General features: G+C 51.1%; 3 annotated features.

Moving 5' to 3' along the window:
• Nucleotides 1,254-2,223: an enhancer, noted in NCBI's record as "H3K4me1 hESC enhancer chr17:75691491-75692460 (GRCh37/hg19 assembly coordinates)". NCBI's record gives its function as "activates a minimal SCP1, AML or CMV promoter by ChIP-STARR-seq in primed H9 embryonic stem cells {active_cell/tissue: H9 hESC(primed)}" and the evidence as "EXISTENCE:reporter gene assay evidence [ECO:0000049][PMID:30033119]".
• Nucleotides 5,306-6,184: an enhancer, noted in NCBI's record as "H3K4me1 hESC enhancer chr17:75687530-75688408 (GRCh37/hg19 assembly coordinates)". NCBI's record gives its function as "activates a minimal SCP1, AML or CMV promoter by ChIP-STARR-seq in naive H9 embryonic stem cells {active_cell/tissue: H9 hESC(naive)}" and the evidence as "EXISTENCE:reporter gene assay evidence [ECO:0000049][PMID:30033119]".
• Nucleotides 6,185-7,064: an enhancer, noted in NCBI's record as "H3K4me1 hESC enhancer chr17:75686650-75687529 (GRCh37/hg19 assembly coordinates)". NCBI's record gives its function as "activates a minimal SCP1, AML or CMV promoter by ChIP-STARR-seq in naive and primed H9 embryonic stem cells {active_cell/tissue: H9 hESC(naive and primed)}" and the evidence as "EXISTENCE:reporter gene assay evidence [ECO:0000049][PMID:30033119]".

Here is a 16,825-nt window from a genome sequence, read left to right as displayed (position 1 = left end):
TCCTCCCCCAGCTGCCTGGGAACTAGGCTTCCACACATTCCGGGGAGAACTGCAGTTGCTCCCCATGACGGGTTGTGAAGACCTAGTTGGTCTTGCTTTAGTGGGAGGTGACGCTCAGCAGATTTGGGAGGGGGCTCTTTAAGAAAAAGATTACAAAATTACAAATGAAAAGAGAAAGCCAGGCCCCATGAAAGAGAGGAGGCTCCTGGGCTTCAGCTGTATCTCTGCTCAGGCTCTGGGAAGCGGTAGGCACCTGGACAAGCCTCAACCCAGGTGGGAGACATCCTAGGTCAACCCTGCAGCAAAGCTGCCAGGCCAGCCATCTCCTCCCGCCCCCACTGTCCCCCCGTCTGCAGCAGCTCAGAGCATTGGCACTTTCAGCATCCAACCCTGGCAGGAGGGCTCACAGTCCACCTTCTTGGGGACGCCAGTGAAAGGACCTTACCAGCCTCCATTTCCCAGACCCTCACTGCCCCGGGGCAGCACACACCCACCCGTCCCCCGTGCCAGGCTTTCTCTGAACAGGATGCCCAGGTCTCCTGGCAGCCCTGGCCCCCCAGCCTGGGGAAGCTGCTAGCCCTGCCGCATCCTGATCCCGGCTTTGACACTGCTCCAGGCCCCGTCCTCCTTTCTTGGACTCTTTCTGCCCAACCCCTTCCTGGCGCAAGGCTGGTCACCTCCTTCCCAGCTACTGTCTTGTCTTTGGGGCTGAGGTTGAACCTGCCAGGAAGGGAGGGGACTGGAGGGGAGGGGAGAAGAGGGGAAGGAGGAGGAGAAGGGAGAGGGGAGGGGAGCGTTTCTTGTTTACCGCCTGCTGCCTCTGCAGGCTCGCTCACTCTCCTACTTCATCTCAGAAATCTCTCCAGCCTCTCCCTCCCTCCGCCTCCCCCCTGCTTTTTCCTGTCCATTACATCTTTCTTACATCTCCTGGAATAAAAAACAATTCTCTTGTGCCACTTAATTCCCCCTCCTAACAGTTTAAGGCCATTATATTAAATAATGATAATCACAAGCATCTCTTTGTTCGTCTTCAACAGCCGCCTGTTCCTTTTAAAGCTCTCAAACCCAAGGTCACAGGCCCCTCCACTCAGCTTAGATAAATCTCTCCCACCGCCGAATTCTGACAAATCCCCGCGCCGGCCGGCCCTTTGTTGTGTATTCTTTGTTTGAAATACGGCATGCGGGGCGATGCACCCAATGCCAGACTTTCCACCTTTGCATATTAAATCGCGGCCGCTGCTTCCCGGTGAAGGGAAGGGAAGGGAAGGGAAGGGAAGGGAAGGGAAGGGAAGGGAAGGGAAGGGAAGGGCAAGGCGGCGCCTCCCCCTGCCTGACTGTGGCAGAAGAACCCCCGCAATCCTCCCCTCCTCGCCCTTCCCCCCACCGCTCCGCCAACCCAGGCGTCTCCCACGGTGGCGGCATCTCTTTTGTTCTCAGCTGCCTGCTCATCCCCGATCACCTGCCTGAAGAAGAGCTCCCGAATCACTTACTCATAATAACTTGGTTAAATCAAAAGGTGCCATCATGCGCCCCCCATCTGCAGGGGCGAGTGGGTAAATGGAGAGGGTAGAAGGCCCCAGAAAGAGCTGCACTAGGGGAGCCCAGGAAGGGGGCAGGTGCACAACACCCCTCCTCTGTGCCCTGGAGACCCTGCCCATCCCTGCTTCCCTGCTGGGCCCCATCAGCCCCCGGGGACTTCCGGGATCCTGGCTCTACTCCAGGTCATCCTGTACTGGGCTGAATCGTGAACCTGTGAATTCATGTCCTCCCAGAACCTGAGAATGCAGCCTTGTTGGAAATAGGGTCTTTGCAGGTGTGATTAAGGTAAGGATGGAGATGAGGTCATCCTGGGTTAGGGTGGGCCCTAAATCCAATGAGAGCGTCCTGGCAAGAAACAGGAATGAAGACCCAGAGACACACGGGCAAATCCAGGTGAAGCAGCAGCAGATTGGAGCCATGCGAAGGACGCCAAGGATCCCCGGGAGCCCCAGATCCGGGAGAGGGGCCTGGGATAGGTTCTCCCTCAGAGCCTCAGTGGGAACCAGCCCTGCCGACACCTTGATTTCTCCCCTCTGCTTCCAGAACTGGGAGAGGAAAAATGTCTGTCACTTTAAGTGGCCCGGTTTGTGGATCTGTGTCCCAGCATCCCGGGGAAAGTGGAGCATCATCTTCCCTTCCTCCAGGAGACTGACAAGATCCATCCACAGAGAGACCAGGAAGGAGAATCCACCCAGATGGTGAATGTTAAGATCCCAGGCATGAAAGGGTCCAGGTCCAGCCACACCCCAGATTCGTTGCCGAAGAAAGGCCGGAAGCTTCCAGAGCAGTTACAGTCTTCTCTCCCCTGGGCCCCTCAGTGGGAGGGTGATGGTGGCCAGGCAGCCACCTCCTGGGGCCCGGTGTGGTTGATGCTCCTCACTCCTGGTGCGCAGAAGATGGAGCTGGCAGCCCAGGACCCGGGAGGTGCCCTCAGGTGCAGAAAAGGGCTTTTCCTCCCCATGTGTGCACCTTTGACCTGTTGAAGCCAGAGTAGGAGGCAGGGGTCACATCTGTCCCTGCCTTAAAAGCCCTCCTGCCCCACCTGCCTTATCCCACCCTGGCAGGGCCCCTGGGAGCCTGATAGGGGCTAAGCTGCTCTCAGGTGGGCTGCAAGCTGGGCTGCTTGATGAGAGCAAGGCCCTTTGCTGGGAGTGGAAGGGAGTCAGGGCGGGGAGGCCCATAGGAGCCACTTGCTCTGAGCCACAAGGGGTTGTGGGTTTGGGTCCTCTGAGAAGCAGGTGCCAGGAATGAATTGGATGTCCATGAGACTTGTTGCAGGGAAATGTCTGTGAAGGAGAAAGGAAAGAGAGCAGGAAGAGTTTCCTTCCATGATGCAGGACCAGCCTGTGCAGGGAGTGGGGAGGGAAGGAGGCCTGGGAGGAAGAGCCTCACAGAAAGCCCCAGTCGGCAGGTGGGAGCCCAGAGCAGAGACTGCCTGAGGGGTGGGGGATCCTCCTGGGGCAAGAGTGGCCATCTCTGGTGTTCCCAAGCTTCTGCGTGGGCTGGGAGCTGGGTGGGGTGTCGAGGCTCTGCAGACTGCACCCCTCCCTAGAGGGCTCCTCTGGGAAGAAGGTGAGTGGGGAGCACCCACAGGGCAGCTACAAGAGCCAGGGAAGAAAGGGGATGCTGGATAGGATGGTGGCACTGTATGAGCCCGTTCTCACACTGCTAGAAAGAACTACCTGAGATAGGGTAATTTATAAAGAAAACAGGTTTAATGGACTCACAGTTCTGCATGAATGGGGAGACCTCAGGAAACTTACAGTCATGATGGAGGCAAAGGGGGAGCAAAGCATGTCTTATATGGCAGCAGGAGAGATTGAGAGTGAGGCGGGAAGTGTCATACTTTAAACCGTCAGATCTCGTGAGAACTCCCTCACTTTCACGAGAACAGCATGAAGGAAATCCACCCCCATGATCTAGTCACCTCCCTCCAGGTCCCTCCCCTGACATGAGGGGATTACAATTCAAGATGAGATTTGAGTGGGAACACAGAGCCAAACCATATCAGGCACCCCCCTGCTTTCTCCTGCTCTTCATGCTCCTAGGTCCCCCTCGGCCAAGGTCCTTCCCTCGCTTCCCAGGGGGCAGACGAGGATGCTGTCTCCACCGCAGGCTTCTCTCCCTCCTGAGAGCCAGCACCTGCCTCATCCGAAATCGCCAGCCCTGAGTTTCCTCTCCTCCTCCTCCCACAACCCACCCTCCTCCTTCTCCAGGCACCTCTGTTTCTGAGGCTGGTTCTTCTCCAGCCTCACTTGTTATTTCAATTTCTTCTCTTCATTTCCCCTAATTTCACATATTTTCAGAGAGAGTCGAGGAAATGAGAAACACTGTCATCTTCAACGTGAGCTTTGATAGAGACGAGAACAGGTTTGATTTTTTGTTTTTCTGTGAAAGGCTACAGAGCGGAGGAGGGAGGATGCCTTAGCGTGCATTCCATGTGGGAGCAGCCTGGGGGCCTTGCTCTCCGATCTGGCAAAGCCCAGCCTGAGAGCTGCCCCAGTTGGCCCAGGATCCTGCGCAGACCTTTGAGGACAAATAATACATCTACCTAATGGCCGGGCAGCCACTTTTCCCCGCGCTGGCACCTTGGGGCCGCCCCACTGAAAAACCCTCCTCTGTTCCTGTTCTGGAGGTCATTCATGACCAGTCAGCACCCATCTACGTCCCCATCCATGTGTCCCTGTGCCAGGGGGGGTGGGACTGGCAGCAGAGCAAGTTGGTCCCAGCCCTGGGGTGGGCTTCTGGCAGATCAAGGGTTCAAACCCTGCAGACTGCTGCAGGTCACAGAAGCAGGGGCAGCAGTGTGAGATGAAACAGGTGGAAAGAGAAAGGTCCCAAGAACTGTTCTCCTGGTCCTGCTGTGAAGCTCTCTCGCAGGGTTGGGAAGTCAAGGTGGGTGTGATTGCCAAGTTTGTTTTCTAACTTCCCACCGTGACAGGGCAGCCGTTACAGGACCAAATGACTTTCTTCACACCACCGAGGAAAACACACATGAACACCCCCAGGCTCCCCCGTCAGTGGGGGAGTGAAATTCCCAGTCATGCTGGCATCCAGCAGGGCAGTCTGTGTTGCTGGGACTGCTTGGTTGCATTCACTCCAGCTCACATTCGGGTGACTTTGAGCTCAAGGGACCTGCAGAAATAATTGTGTGTGTCTTAAGTTGGGTCCCTGTTGGGCATCGGGTGGCGGAAGGGCAAGCACCTTGAAGAAGGGGAGGTGGGTGCACGTGTACACAAATGCACACAACAGAACAGGGACCAGAGGGGCAGAACCACATCCTGCACTCAGGATCTCCCAGGCTGATACCGAAAATATGAATCCACCCAACAGCAGGACCTTTACAAAAAAAAAAAAAAAAAAAAAAAAAAAAAAAAAACTAGGGCAGGTGACTCATGCCCTGGGGCCCAAACAACACATCCATGACACACTGCTAAGCTTGGCCTCGCTTCCCTCCTCTCCAGAGGGCTAAATCACGAGGCTCTCTGCAAAGAAAACCCTGGGCCTTGGGAGAAAGACGGCACCTTCCTCAACTCCAGGTGACCCTTGAACAACATGGGTTTGAACTGCATGGTCCACTTATGCACAGATTTCCTTCCATCTCTGCCACCTGCGAGACAGCAAGACCTACCCCTCCTCATCCTCCTCTTCAGCCTCCTCAATGTAAAGACAAGAAGGGTGAAGACCTTTATGATGATCCGCTTCCACCTAATGAGTAAATATGTTTTCTGTCCCTTATCATCTTCTTTATAACATTTTCTTTTCTCCAGCTTACTTTATCATAAGAATGCAGTAACATATAACTTACAAAATAAAATACACATAATGACATACAAAATATGTGTTCATTGACTGTTCTCAGTAAGGCTTCTGGTCAACAGCAGGCTATTCGTAGTTAAGTTTTAGGAGAGTCAAAAGTTACACATGGGTTTTTGAGTTACACAACACTGAGGGCAGTGGTGTGGGAGGCCCACGCCTTCAACACGTGGGCCTGATGTCCCTGTCCCTGCCTCAGCTCCCACTGGACACGTCTGCCGATTCTTTGACAATTGCTAAGTGTTGGGCCCTTGCCGGCCACTGTGACGGGGGTAGGGACGGGGGTAGGGACAACGAGATGGAGCCGATGCTTAGGGCACCGCCTTTCAGGAGCCTAGGGGCCCCGGGGAGAGCCCTGCACACCTTCTGTCCCCTGCAGCCAGCACACCTGGCATCACGCTCACCTTCCCCACTTAACCAGCCCCCTCCTCAGACTCCCGGGCAGTCACTGCTACCACCTGCTTCCTCACCCCGCAGGTTCAGACCCTGGAGTTGTCACTGACGCTTCCCTTGCCCTCCCCAGTGCCCAGGTCTGGGCAGCCCCAGCCCTGGTTCCCACGCTCTTCACCCCTCTCCATGCATCCGTCTTTTCCATGCCTCCTGCTGCCACCCTGGTCACACTCTCCTCTCTCTGACCTGGACTTCCAGCTGCCCTCCCTGCCATCTCTGCTCCCCCAGGCCACCCTCTGCATGGGGCAAGCCCAGTGAGGGACAATGAGCGTAAACATACGTGCCCTGGTGTTGATGATGCATAGAATTAGGAAGGGCGATGAAGATTCCTCTTCCAAGCGTGTCCCTTGAACAAGGAATTGCACCTCACCCTGGTCATGAATGTGTAGCAAGGCAATGGGTGCCAAGTCCCCTGGGATTCAGCTGCAACCCAGGCCAGCTGTGTGCCCTTGGGCAAGTCACGCCTCTCTCTGAGTCTCAGTTCCCCCTAGGACATTAAGGGGGATGAGTGTGGGGGCTTTCAGTAGCTTTGTTCAGTTTGCATCCTCTACATCTATGCCTTAGTTGTCTGCATTTTCCTGGCTCCAACCTGCTTCTAAGCGGGTATCTGGGAACAGAAAGAAAGAGGAGAGGAAGGAGGGGTCCTCACTCCTGATAAGCTGCAGTGGCAGCATCAGCCTTCAGGGCAAGGGGGCATCTGGCGGGGCAGTGGTCTCAGGAAGACATGAGGGGAAGCCCCCCCATCCGCCTGCATCCCATGGCTCCCCCGAGCTCTTGGCTCCTGGGCAGAGGGGTTTCCTGGCTGCTTTCTTGTGCCTTCCACCTTTGAGGATGAATTCTTTCTCCACCTTTAAGCACATTGACAAGATTAATGCCATAATCGGGAGGGGCTGCCATGGAGGCTCAGGGGTCTCTGAGCAATAACTCCTAATTCAGAAATTTATCTAGGGCAGCAAAGACAAGGGCACTCCCCACCAGGACCGGCCCTGCCGGGAAGGAGAGGAGCAGGTCTGCAGGCTCACCGCCCGCCGAAACATCCGCTTTGCACATGCCTAATTATAACTTGGGTTGCTACAAACGGAAATGGACTAAACCCATTAAATCTATTTTTTCTCCCGTGGTGGGAGGGAGTATGGATTTCTTAAAGATAGAGAATTTAAATTAAGCTTTAAAACTGTGACTGAGCGAGATTTAATACTGACAATTAGCCTGGACAAACAGTTAATCGTCCTGGCGGGGTAATTTATATACGTTCCATGTGCCCACGAGGCAGACAGCACACTGCACTGCAAATTAGTGCAAGGAAAGAGGCTTCGCTCCTCCTCGAGCTGCAGCCTGGGGGGGCGGGGGCTGTTTAGAGCTTCCCATCCCAGTGGCCTGACGTGGCAGGAGCAGGGTGGGCTGTCCCATTTTACGGGGTCTGCCTGGCAGACAGCCACCCAGATGTCTCAGACCCTGGTCCCTGGAATGGGAGTGGTCAGTGCAGCTGTTTCAGGGCTTGGAAAGGGAAAATCTTGCCTCTTCCTTCCAGGGAGGACATGGCGTAGTAGGCGGAGCTCAGAATTCTTGGAGGGTTTATTTTCTTTTATTTTTAAGTTTATTTTTATTTTTTATTTTTTCTCACTCTGTCTCCCAGGCTGGAGGGCAGTGGCATGATCTCAGCTCACTGCAGCCTCTGCCTCCTAGGTTCCAGCGATTCTCGTGCCTCATCCTCCCGAGTAGCTGAAACTACAGGTGCATGCCACCACACCCAGCTAATTTTTTGTGTTTTTAGTAGAGATGAGGTTTCGCTATGTTGTCCAGGCTGATCTTGAACTCCTGACCTCAAATGATCCGCCTGCCTCTGCCTCCCAAAGTGTTGGGATTACAGGCGTGAGCCACCATGCCTGGCCTTATTTATATTTTTAATTTTTCTGGGTACGTGGTTGGTGTGCATATTTGTGGGGTACATGAGATGTTTGATACAGGCATGCAATAGGAAATACACACGCCATGGAGAGTGGGGTATCCATCCCCTCAAGCATTTATCTTTTGAGTGACAAACAATCCAATGACACTCTTTAAGTTATTTTAAAATGTACAATTAAGTTATTGTTGGCTATAGTCACCCTATTGTGCTATCAAATAGTAGGTCTTATTCAATTTTTCTTTTTTCTTTTTTGGCACCCATTCTGGCTGCTCTGGCCCTGGAGACCTGAGTGGGCTGAGCACTCACTTCTCCACTCTGAATGTCAGTCTCCTTGTCTGTAAAATGGGCTGAATGAGCTTGGTGCTCACTTCTCCACTCTGAATGTCAGTCTCCTTGTCTGTAAAATGGGCTGAATGAGCTTGGTGCTCACTTCTCCACTCTGAATGTCAGTCTCCTTGTCTGTAAAATGGGCTGAATGAGCTTGGTGCTCACTTCTCCACTCTGAATGTCAGTCTCCTTGTCTGTAAAATGGGCTGAATGAGCTTGGTGCTCACTTCTCCACTCTGAATCTCAGTCTCCTTTTCTGCAAAATGGGAAGCACTTGCTCATCAGAGTTCTTGGGATGGGTTGGACGCCAGGTGGAAGCGTCTATCTCAGAGCCTCAATGGATCCTGTTTGCTCATCACCTGGTTCCTCCTAAATGGAGAGCTCCCTTATGCTCTCAGAAGCCCCATGTGCCTGGTCCTCAGAGAGTGCCCATGAATGGGGGCTAAACAACTGACTTTCAGTGTTTATAATAGCTGCTGTATGCTTCCCAGACAACAGCCTTCTCTACCTGGAATAGATGCGTCCATTCGTGGCAATGTGGCATTGATTTTTTTTTTTTAAATACCACATTAGCAAGACTTCTAAAGAAAAGATCCCTGGCTTCCTCACATGGAACGGGGTCCAAGCCACAGCCATTTTTACCTCACGCCTCTCAAGGCTACACGATTCCCCTCCTAAGAACTTCAAATGCCTTTTTGTCCATATCACTCAGATTTGCAGATTTACTCTCCACATCCAACAGTTTTCCAGCTGCAATGATTTCTGTGGGTGGATGGGTGGGTGGGAGGGTGGAAAGGTGAGGGGAATTGATCTATACCCTTCCAGGGCTGCATTGATAGCAAAAGCCCCTAAAGAGTTGATTGGAGAGAGTGAGCAGGTGGATACCTGCCCTGTTCCTGTCTCCTTTGACTTTATTCCAGGAACTCTAGGGAGCAGAGAGCAGAGGGGAAGGCTGGGGGAGGTGGGTAGGGAGGCTGTTATTTCCTTAGCATGGGGCTGCTGGAGGATCGGCAGGGGGTGTGCTGGGCAGGAGATCATTCTGCAATGACGATGGGGGTGTCTCCTCTCACCGGCCCACCTGCATCCCCTGGGGGCTCCCTGTTACAACCTATGAGCCTGAGGGATATGACAGCAATAAAACCAACCCCTCCCACCCCCAGCCCCCTGAAGACTTCCGTTCCAGCAGAGAAGTCAGACAACAAAGCATCAGTCACATTTTAAGAAACAGTGATGGCAACTATTCGAAATAGCCAAAAGGTTGAAGGAACCCAACTGATGAATGGATAAACCCAATGTGACGAATCCACACGATGGCCACACGCGACGACACCAGTGGACCTTGAAAACACGCTCAGTGAAGGAAGCCCAGGTATAAAGGCCACATGTGGCCTGATCCCATTTATGTGAAATATCCACAGTCCTTGATTTTGATGGTGGAGCCGGAGGGGGACGTGGAACAAGGTCAGGGCGGGACCACGCCCATGGAACGCCAGGCATCTCTGCTTCGTCATGGGAGGAGAAAGCAAAACCAATCTTTCCTTCAAGGCTCCACTCCCCCGACCACCTCTCCAGCACGCCGCAAACACCTGAGAGGTCACAGTCACCTGGGCCACTTCTTCCATTCCCGTGGGACTGCTGGCTCCTGGCAGGGAGGGGTTGGTCTTGTCTACCTCTGAGTTATCCCTGCTGCCTTCATATATGAAGCGGCCAATAAATATCTCTAGGTGGGGTGAAAAATCCCTAGGGAAGCTGTGCCTATAATCCCAACACTTTGGGAGGCCCAGGCGGGTGGATCACTTGAGGCCAGGAGTATGAGACCAGACTGGTCAACATGGGGAAACCCCGTCTCTACTAAAAATAAACAAATTAGCAGGCATGGTGGCGCATACCTGTAATCTCAGCTACTAGGGAGGCTGAGGCAGGAGAATCGCTTGAACCAGGAAGGCAGAGGTTGCAGTGAGCTGAGATTGTGCCATTGCACAATCTCTAGTCTGGGCAACAGAGCGAGACTCCATCTCAAAACAAACAAAATAAACTGAAACTGAGAGAGGTTAAGGCCCTGGCCCCAGGTCAAACCAGAAGACAGACTTGGAGTGGTGGTTTCTCTTTTTCCACACTCCGGGAAGGTGTCTCAGATCTCCAAGTGAAGGATGCTGGTGGGTAGAACAGAGGAGACCTGGAGAGTGACTGGTCCCTTGAAAGATCGCTGCAAACTCTTTGTGGGCAATGTACGGAGAAGGCCACAGACACAGCACAGAGACAGACCCTGTTCCGAGAGCCTGCAGAGCCCTTTCCAATCTGCAGGGCATCCCCACACCCCAAGCATGTTCCACTCCTGCCCCTACTCTCAGTCTGTTCTTTTCATCTGGGCCTTCTAAGGAGTGGGTACCCAGTGGCTTTGTTGTTGTTAAATTGCGGAACAAACGTTATAATGGGTAAGCGTACAGAGAAAGAAGAACGCTAAGCACTGTGCTAGGCATTTGACATGCATTGCCCCACTTGATCCTCCCAAGAGCCATTGTCATCTCTATTATGCCATCAACGTAAATAACACACAGAGAGCAGCTCCCTAGAAGAAAAAGATACTCATTCATGAATAGGGCATCGCAATGGGAAGACGCGTGCTGTAGTAAACAATGTACATGTGAGGGAGGTAAAGCAAGGCAAAGAGTATTAAAGGGAAAATAAAATAAAATAAGGAGGATTAAATAATTGTTCTGAAATGATTACCCTTAGCTACAAGGACCAATAACAAGGGTGATGCCAGAGCGGACAGGCGATTTCTGAGCAGGTGTCATGCAGAAGGTATCTTTTGTGTAAGGTTGTGATGACCTTTGTACAAGGTTGTGTATTTTGCAGAGTCTTTTGGACAGTTTTTGTTATCAGGCATTTATGCATAATAACCCTCTCTTTATGGTCTTCTCCAGGTTTATTTGTGAGCGTGGACTCCGTTTTGATTCTGACAACTGCTGATGAGGAAACTGAAACTGAGGGGGGTTAAGACCTCTGCCCCAAATCACCCAGGTGGTAAGTGAAAGAGCTAAGACTCTATCTCAGCTGCTCTAGCACTGGAGCTTTAGGCCAGAGCCCTTTTTTCCATGACTTGATTCTAACTCCCAGAAGGACAAAGAGATGGGTGGATGGAGGGATGGGTGGAAGAATAGATAGGTAGATGGAAGGAGAGAAGAATGTGTGGATGGATGGATGGATGGATGGATGGATGGATGGATGGGATAGATAGATGGAGGAAGGGATGGAGGGATGCATGGATGGAAGAACATATGGGCAGATAGATGGGTGAATGAAGGGATAAAGTGATGGATAGGTGGAGGGATAGGGCAACGGATGGAGGAATAGAGGGATGGATGGATAGATGGAGGAAGCATAGAGGGATGCATGGATGGAAGAATGTATGGACAGATAGATGGGTGAATGGAGGGATAGAAGGATGGAGAGGTGGAGGGATGGGGCGACAGATGAAGGGATGGATGGATAGATGGAGGAAGGGTTGGAGGGCTGTATGAATGCAAGAATGTATGGACAGATAGATGGGTGAATGGAGGAATAGAGAGATGGAGAGTGGATGGATGGGGCGACAGAAGGAGGAATAGAGGGATGGATGGATAGATGGAGGAAGCATAGAGGGATTCATGGATGGAAGAATGTATGCACAGATAGATGGGTGAATGGAGGGATAGAAGGATGGAGAGGTGGAGGCATGGAGTGATGGATGGAGGGATGAAGGGATGGAGGGAGAGAGGGATGCATATGTGAATGGTGAATGGGCAAGCCTTCATCTCCTTCCATGGCCATGCTCATGGCCACCTGGGCTGGCCTGTCATCAGACCTCATAAATCTATACTAGTAAACAGGCTCTAGCTTCAAGCAGAGACAAACTTCTATGAAAGGCAGTTTGTTGGTCCGAAATAATTGCCTCCTATCAGGATGTGTTAAAACTGAGGAGTAACAAGGGCTGCGGTTACCTTAAGATTTATGGCACATGACATGCCATTCTTTCCACCACAACACATTTGCATAAAATGCTTATATTACTGCAGCTTCATCGGACCTGAAAATGCAATATGATTCCAATAACATTTCTCTGGAGATAGACAATGGGCTGAAACAAAAACACTATGTGTTGCCTCGGCTCTGTGTCTTTATTAACAAACATGCCAGGATGCATTGCTAAAATTGCGCAATTTAAATGGCATGAAAACGCTCACCTCACACAGGGCGGCTCTCTAGCTTCCTCCGATCCATCTTGCTATTTCCCGAGTGTCAAAGCATTGCTTTAAATACGTAATAAAGCCCTTGCCTGAGATGCTAGCACTGCTGCAATTCAACTTACTTGCCCATCTGGCGTCACTTTGCATTTTTAGTGAAGTTGTGGCTTGAGATAGTAGGTTTTCTGCTTTCAAATTCTTTGCTCTTTCCACCAAAAAGGTAGTTCAATGTTGGAAAATGCTCTTACGTGGGCTGTGAGTACTGGCTCCCGGCTCCCGGTTGGATGGATGGAACAGAGTCTTCCTGGAGGCAGGGACTGTCCTGTGGGGCCTTCAAGGTCTCTTCTCACTATAAATGGGAATTCATAGCTGCAGAGGTGGGCAGAATCCAATGGGGGATGGCGCTGCCATCTGGTCATGTGAGTTCACCTCAACCCATAGCTGTCCCTTTAACATCTGGTGGTATGAAAATCAAGGCCAAGGCCAAGCATGTGGGCAGAGCCTCAGCCTCATTCATAATTAAAGAAATGCAAATTACAACCACAAAATAAGATTTTTCACCCATCCAACTGGGAAAACAGCAAAGGCTTTTTGGGAATAGGCGCAGTGGAAACAGGAATAATATCTTTAGATCCTTGCTACTCAAAGCAGGGTTTAAAGACCAGCAGCATCAGCCTCACCCAGAGCTTGAAAAAAATACAGATTCCCAGGCACCAGTCAGGACCTGCTGGTTGGAAACTGCAGGTGGGGCCCAGGAATATGCATTCTAACAAGCCCTCCAGGTAATTCTGATATAGGCTGAAGTTCGAGAACCACTGCTTTAGAGGACATTTTGGCCCCGAAATTTCACTTCTTTTTCTTTCCTATTACATTTTCTGATTAGTTATTGCTGGAGTGTGTGAAAACAATTGATTCTGTTTATGTTGAGCTTCTATCTAGTCATCTTGCTGAATTCTCCTACTAGTTCTAATAATTTGTCAGTTGAGTCTACTGGATATTCTACATAGAGGATTCTATTGTCAACTGGGCCCAGTGGCTCAAGCCTGTAATCCCAGCACTTTGGGAAGCCGAGGCAGGTGGATCATGAGGTCAGGAGTTCAAGACCAACCCGGACAAGTGAAACCCTGTCTCTACTAAAAATACAAAATTTAGCTGGACGTGGTGGACCGGCACCTGTAATCTCAGGTACTCAGGAAGCTGAGGCAGAGAATTGCTTGAACCCGGAAGGTGGAGGTTGCAGTGAGCAGAGATCATGCTACTGCACTCCAGCTTGGGTGATAGAGCGAGACTCCACATTTGTTAGGACTTGCAGAGCACTAATAAAATCTGCTGTGGCTTTTAGGTATATTTGGATATGAGTTTGTATTAGTCTGTTCTCTCCCTGCTGTAAAGAAATACCTGAGACTGGGTAATTTATAGAGTTTTAATTGGCTCACGGTTCTGCAGGCTATTTGGGAAGCATAATGCTGGCATCCGCTTGCCTTCTTCGGGGGCCTCAGGAAACTTAAACTAATGGCAGAAGGGTAAGGACAAGCAGGCACGTCTTACCTGGCCAGAGTAGGAGCAAGAGAGAGACAGGGTCGGGAGGACGGGGCAGTTTACACACTTTTAAAACAACCAGATCTTACGAGAACTCACTATCGCAATGACAGCACCAGGGGGTGGTACTAAACCAGGAGAAACCACCCCCATGATCCAATCACCTCCCACCAGGACCCACCTCCAACATTGGGGATTACAATTCAACATGAGATTTGGGTGGGGGCGCAGATCCAAACCATACCAGGGTCCAAAGATGCCTGTGCGGGAATGTTTATTGCAGCAGCATCTGTAAAGAGTAGAGCACTGTAAAATGCCCCCAAAACTCCCATCAGCATGGGGCTCGTTGGATGAACCAGGGCCAGGCCAGGCACAGTGGCTCACGTCTACAATCCCAGCAATTTGGGAGGCCAAGGTGGGCGGATTGTCTGAGGTCAGGAGTTTGAGACCAGCCTGGTCAACATGGCAAAACTTCATCTCTTCTAAAAATACACACACACACACAAAAATTAACCAGGCATGGTGGCCCACACCTGTAGTCCCAGCTACTCTGGAGGCTGAGGCAGGAGAATCACTTGAACCCGGGAGGCAGAGGTTGCAGTGAGCTGAGATCACGCCACTGCACTCCAGCCTGGGTGACAGAGCAAGACTCCGCCTCAAAAAAAAAACAAAAAAAAAGATTAAACCAGGGCCTAATCAAGGCAGTGGAATAATGCAACCAATAAAACGACTGAGGCAGATGCAAATGCGCTGATATTAAAAGAGATCAGACAGGTTATTTGCAAAGGATGCAGAGTGGTGTATAAAGATACACAAACATATATGAGCACATGTACACAAGGAACTTCTGGAAGGATACACTAGAAATTCTCAACAGTTGCTTCTGAGAAGGAGGACTTGGGGGCCTGGGGCGAGAGGGAGAGGTACTCTTAAATCATTTTTTGTCACTAATTTATTTGTTATATTTTGAAAATGTTACTTTTTCATTAAGAAAATATTTCTAATTTTTTTCTTCTTTTTTTTTTTTTTTTTTGAGACGGAGTCTTGCTCTGTCTCCCAGGCTGGAGTGCAGTGGCGCGATCTCCACTCACTGCAAGCTCCGCCTCCCGGGTTCACGCCATTCTCATGCCTCAGCCTCCTGAGTAGCTGGGACTACAGGCGCCCGCCACCGCACCTGGCTAATTTTTTGTATTTTTAGTAGAGATGGGGTTTCCCTATGTTAGCCAGGATGGTCTCGATCTCCTGACCTCGTGATCTGCCAGCCTTGGCCTCCCAAAGTGCTGGGATTAGAGGCGTGAGCCATCATGCCCAGCCTCTAATTTTTTTCTAAATGAATAAGCTCGGGTTCATCAGAGACATGCGCTCCCTGTCTCAATCAGGGCTTCTCAGTCCCCGGCTACATGTGTCAGTCCCTGGGTCTGTTTATGCCTACTGTTCCATTATTGGAACGCTAAGCATGGGGGAGTTATTTACAGCCTACTGCTCAAGGTCAGCACCAAGGTCTGATTGCAAAAATTCAAAAAATTGCAACCTCAGGCATACATGGGTTAAGCGGAGGGGGACTGAGGGGAACCGATGCATCGTTCTGGCTGACAGCTTTCTGGCATTGAATTCTGTTTCCAGGAGGGCCCAGTGTCAACTCGGAGAGAAGGAAATGTTAGGACTCATTTAGTGGATTCTCTCTCACAATTTAACTTGAGTAGTTTCACAGCAAACAAAATGTGCTCTTCCCAGGACGCTCTGGGCAGCTTGCCCACTGCACCGCTTCATAGAGACGCCAGGACAGTTTATCCTCTACAGCTGAACAGTTCAGAGCATGGCCTCGGGCCATGTGGATCCTGGTGCAAATCCCCACATCGCTCCTGAACTGTGGGACTCAGGACAGGTTTCCTAGGCTGGCTGAGGTGGTTTCCTCATCTGTCCCATGGGCTGAGTAATGCCAACTTCAAAGAGATGCTGCAAGGGTTAAAGAAGAACATGTAGGGCTGGGCACGGTGGCTCATGCCTGTAATCCCAACCCTTTGGGAAGCCAAGGCAGGCAGATCACAAGGTCAGGAGTTCGAGACCAACCTGGCCAACATGGTGAAACCCCATCCATACTAAAAAGTACAAAAATTAGCCGGGCCTGGTGGTGTGTGCCTGTAATCCCAGCTACTTGGGAGGCTGAGGCAAGACAATTGCTTGAACCTGGGAGGCAGAGGTTGCAGCGAGCCGAGATTGCGCCACTGCACTCCAGGCTGGGTGACAAAGCGAGACTCAAAAAAAAAAAAAAAGAGAAGAAAAGAAGGAAAATGTAAAGCGAAGATTCAATACATGTGTTTTGTTTGTTTGTTTTGGGTTTTTTTTGAGGTGGAGTCTTGCTCTTGTTGCCCAGGCTGGAATGCAATGGTGTGATCTCAGCTCACTGCAACTTCTGCCTCCTGGGTTCAAGCGATTCTCCTGCCTCAGCCTCCCGAATAGCTGGGATTACAGGTGCCTGCCACCATGCCTGGCTAATGTTTGTATTTTTAGTAGAGATGGGGTTTCACCATGTTGGCCAGGCTGGTCTCGAACTCCTGGCCTCAGGTGATCTGCCTGCCTCGGCCTCCCAAAGTGCTGGGATTACAGGCGTGAGCCACTGTGTCTTGGAAGAGCTTCATATGACCCCATCCCCAGGTGCTTGGAATCTTTCCCAAGTCAACTCTGCATGTTCACACTAGGGCAAGGTCACAGAGAGGCATCCCTCCTCCTTGAGACCTTGTAGGGCCACTCTCTGCCCTCTGGTTCTTAGCCCAGGCCTGAGGTCCAGAGAGGACTTATGACTCCCTCTTGCACACGGGAAACCCGGGACTCAGAGATTAAATGACTTGGCAACATTAAAGTCAGGGGCAGAGTGGGCCAAAGCCCATGGGTTCTGCTGCTGTGTCCTGTGAGGTAAGCTCCCCCTGCCACTTGCACACACCAGCTTTCCAGTTTTAAAGTATGATTATGAAAAAGCCAGACACAAACTGAACATGCTCTAGGTATGATGTCTTTCCAT

This window comes from Homo sapiens, chromosome 17 (genome assembly GCF_000001405.40).
Source record: "Homo sapiens chromosome 17, GRCh38.p14 Primary Assembly".
Lineage (NCBI taxonomy): Eukaryota > Metazoa > Chordata > Mammalia > Primates > Hominidae > Homo > Homo sapiens.
The sequence above is the reverse complement of the archived record's forward strand: the minus strand, read 5'-3'. Positions and strand labels throughout refer to the sequence as shown.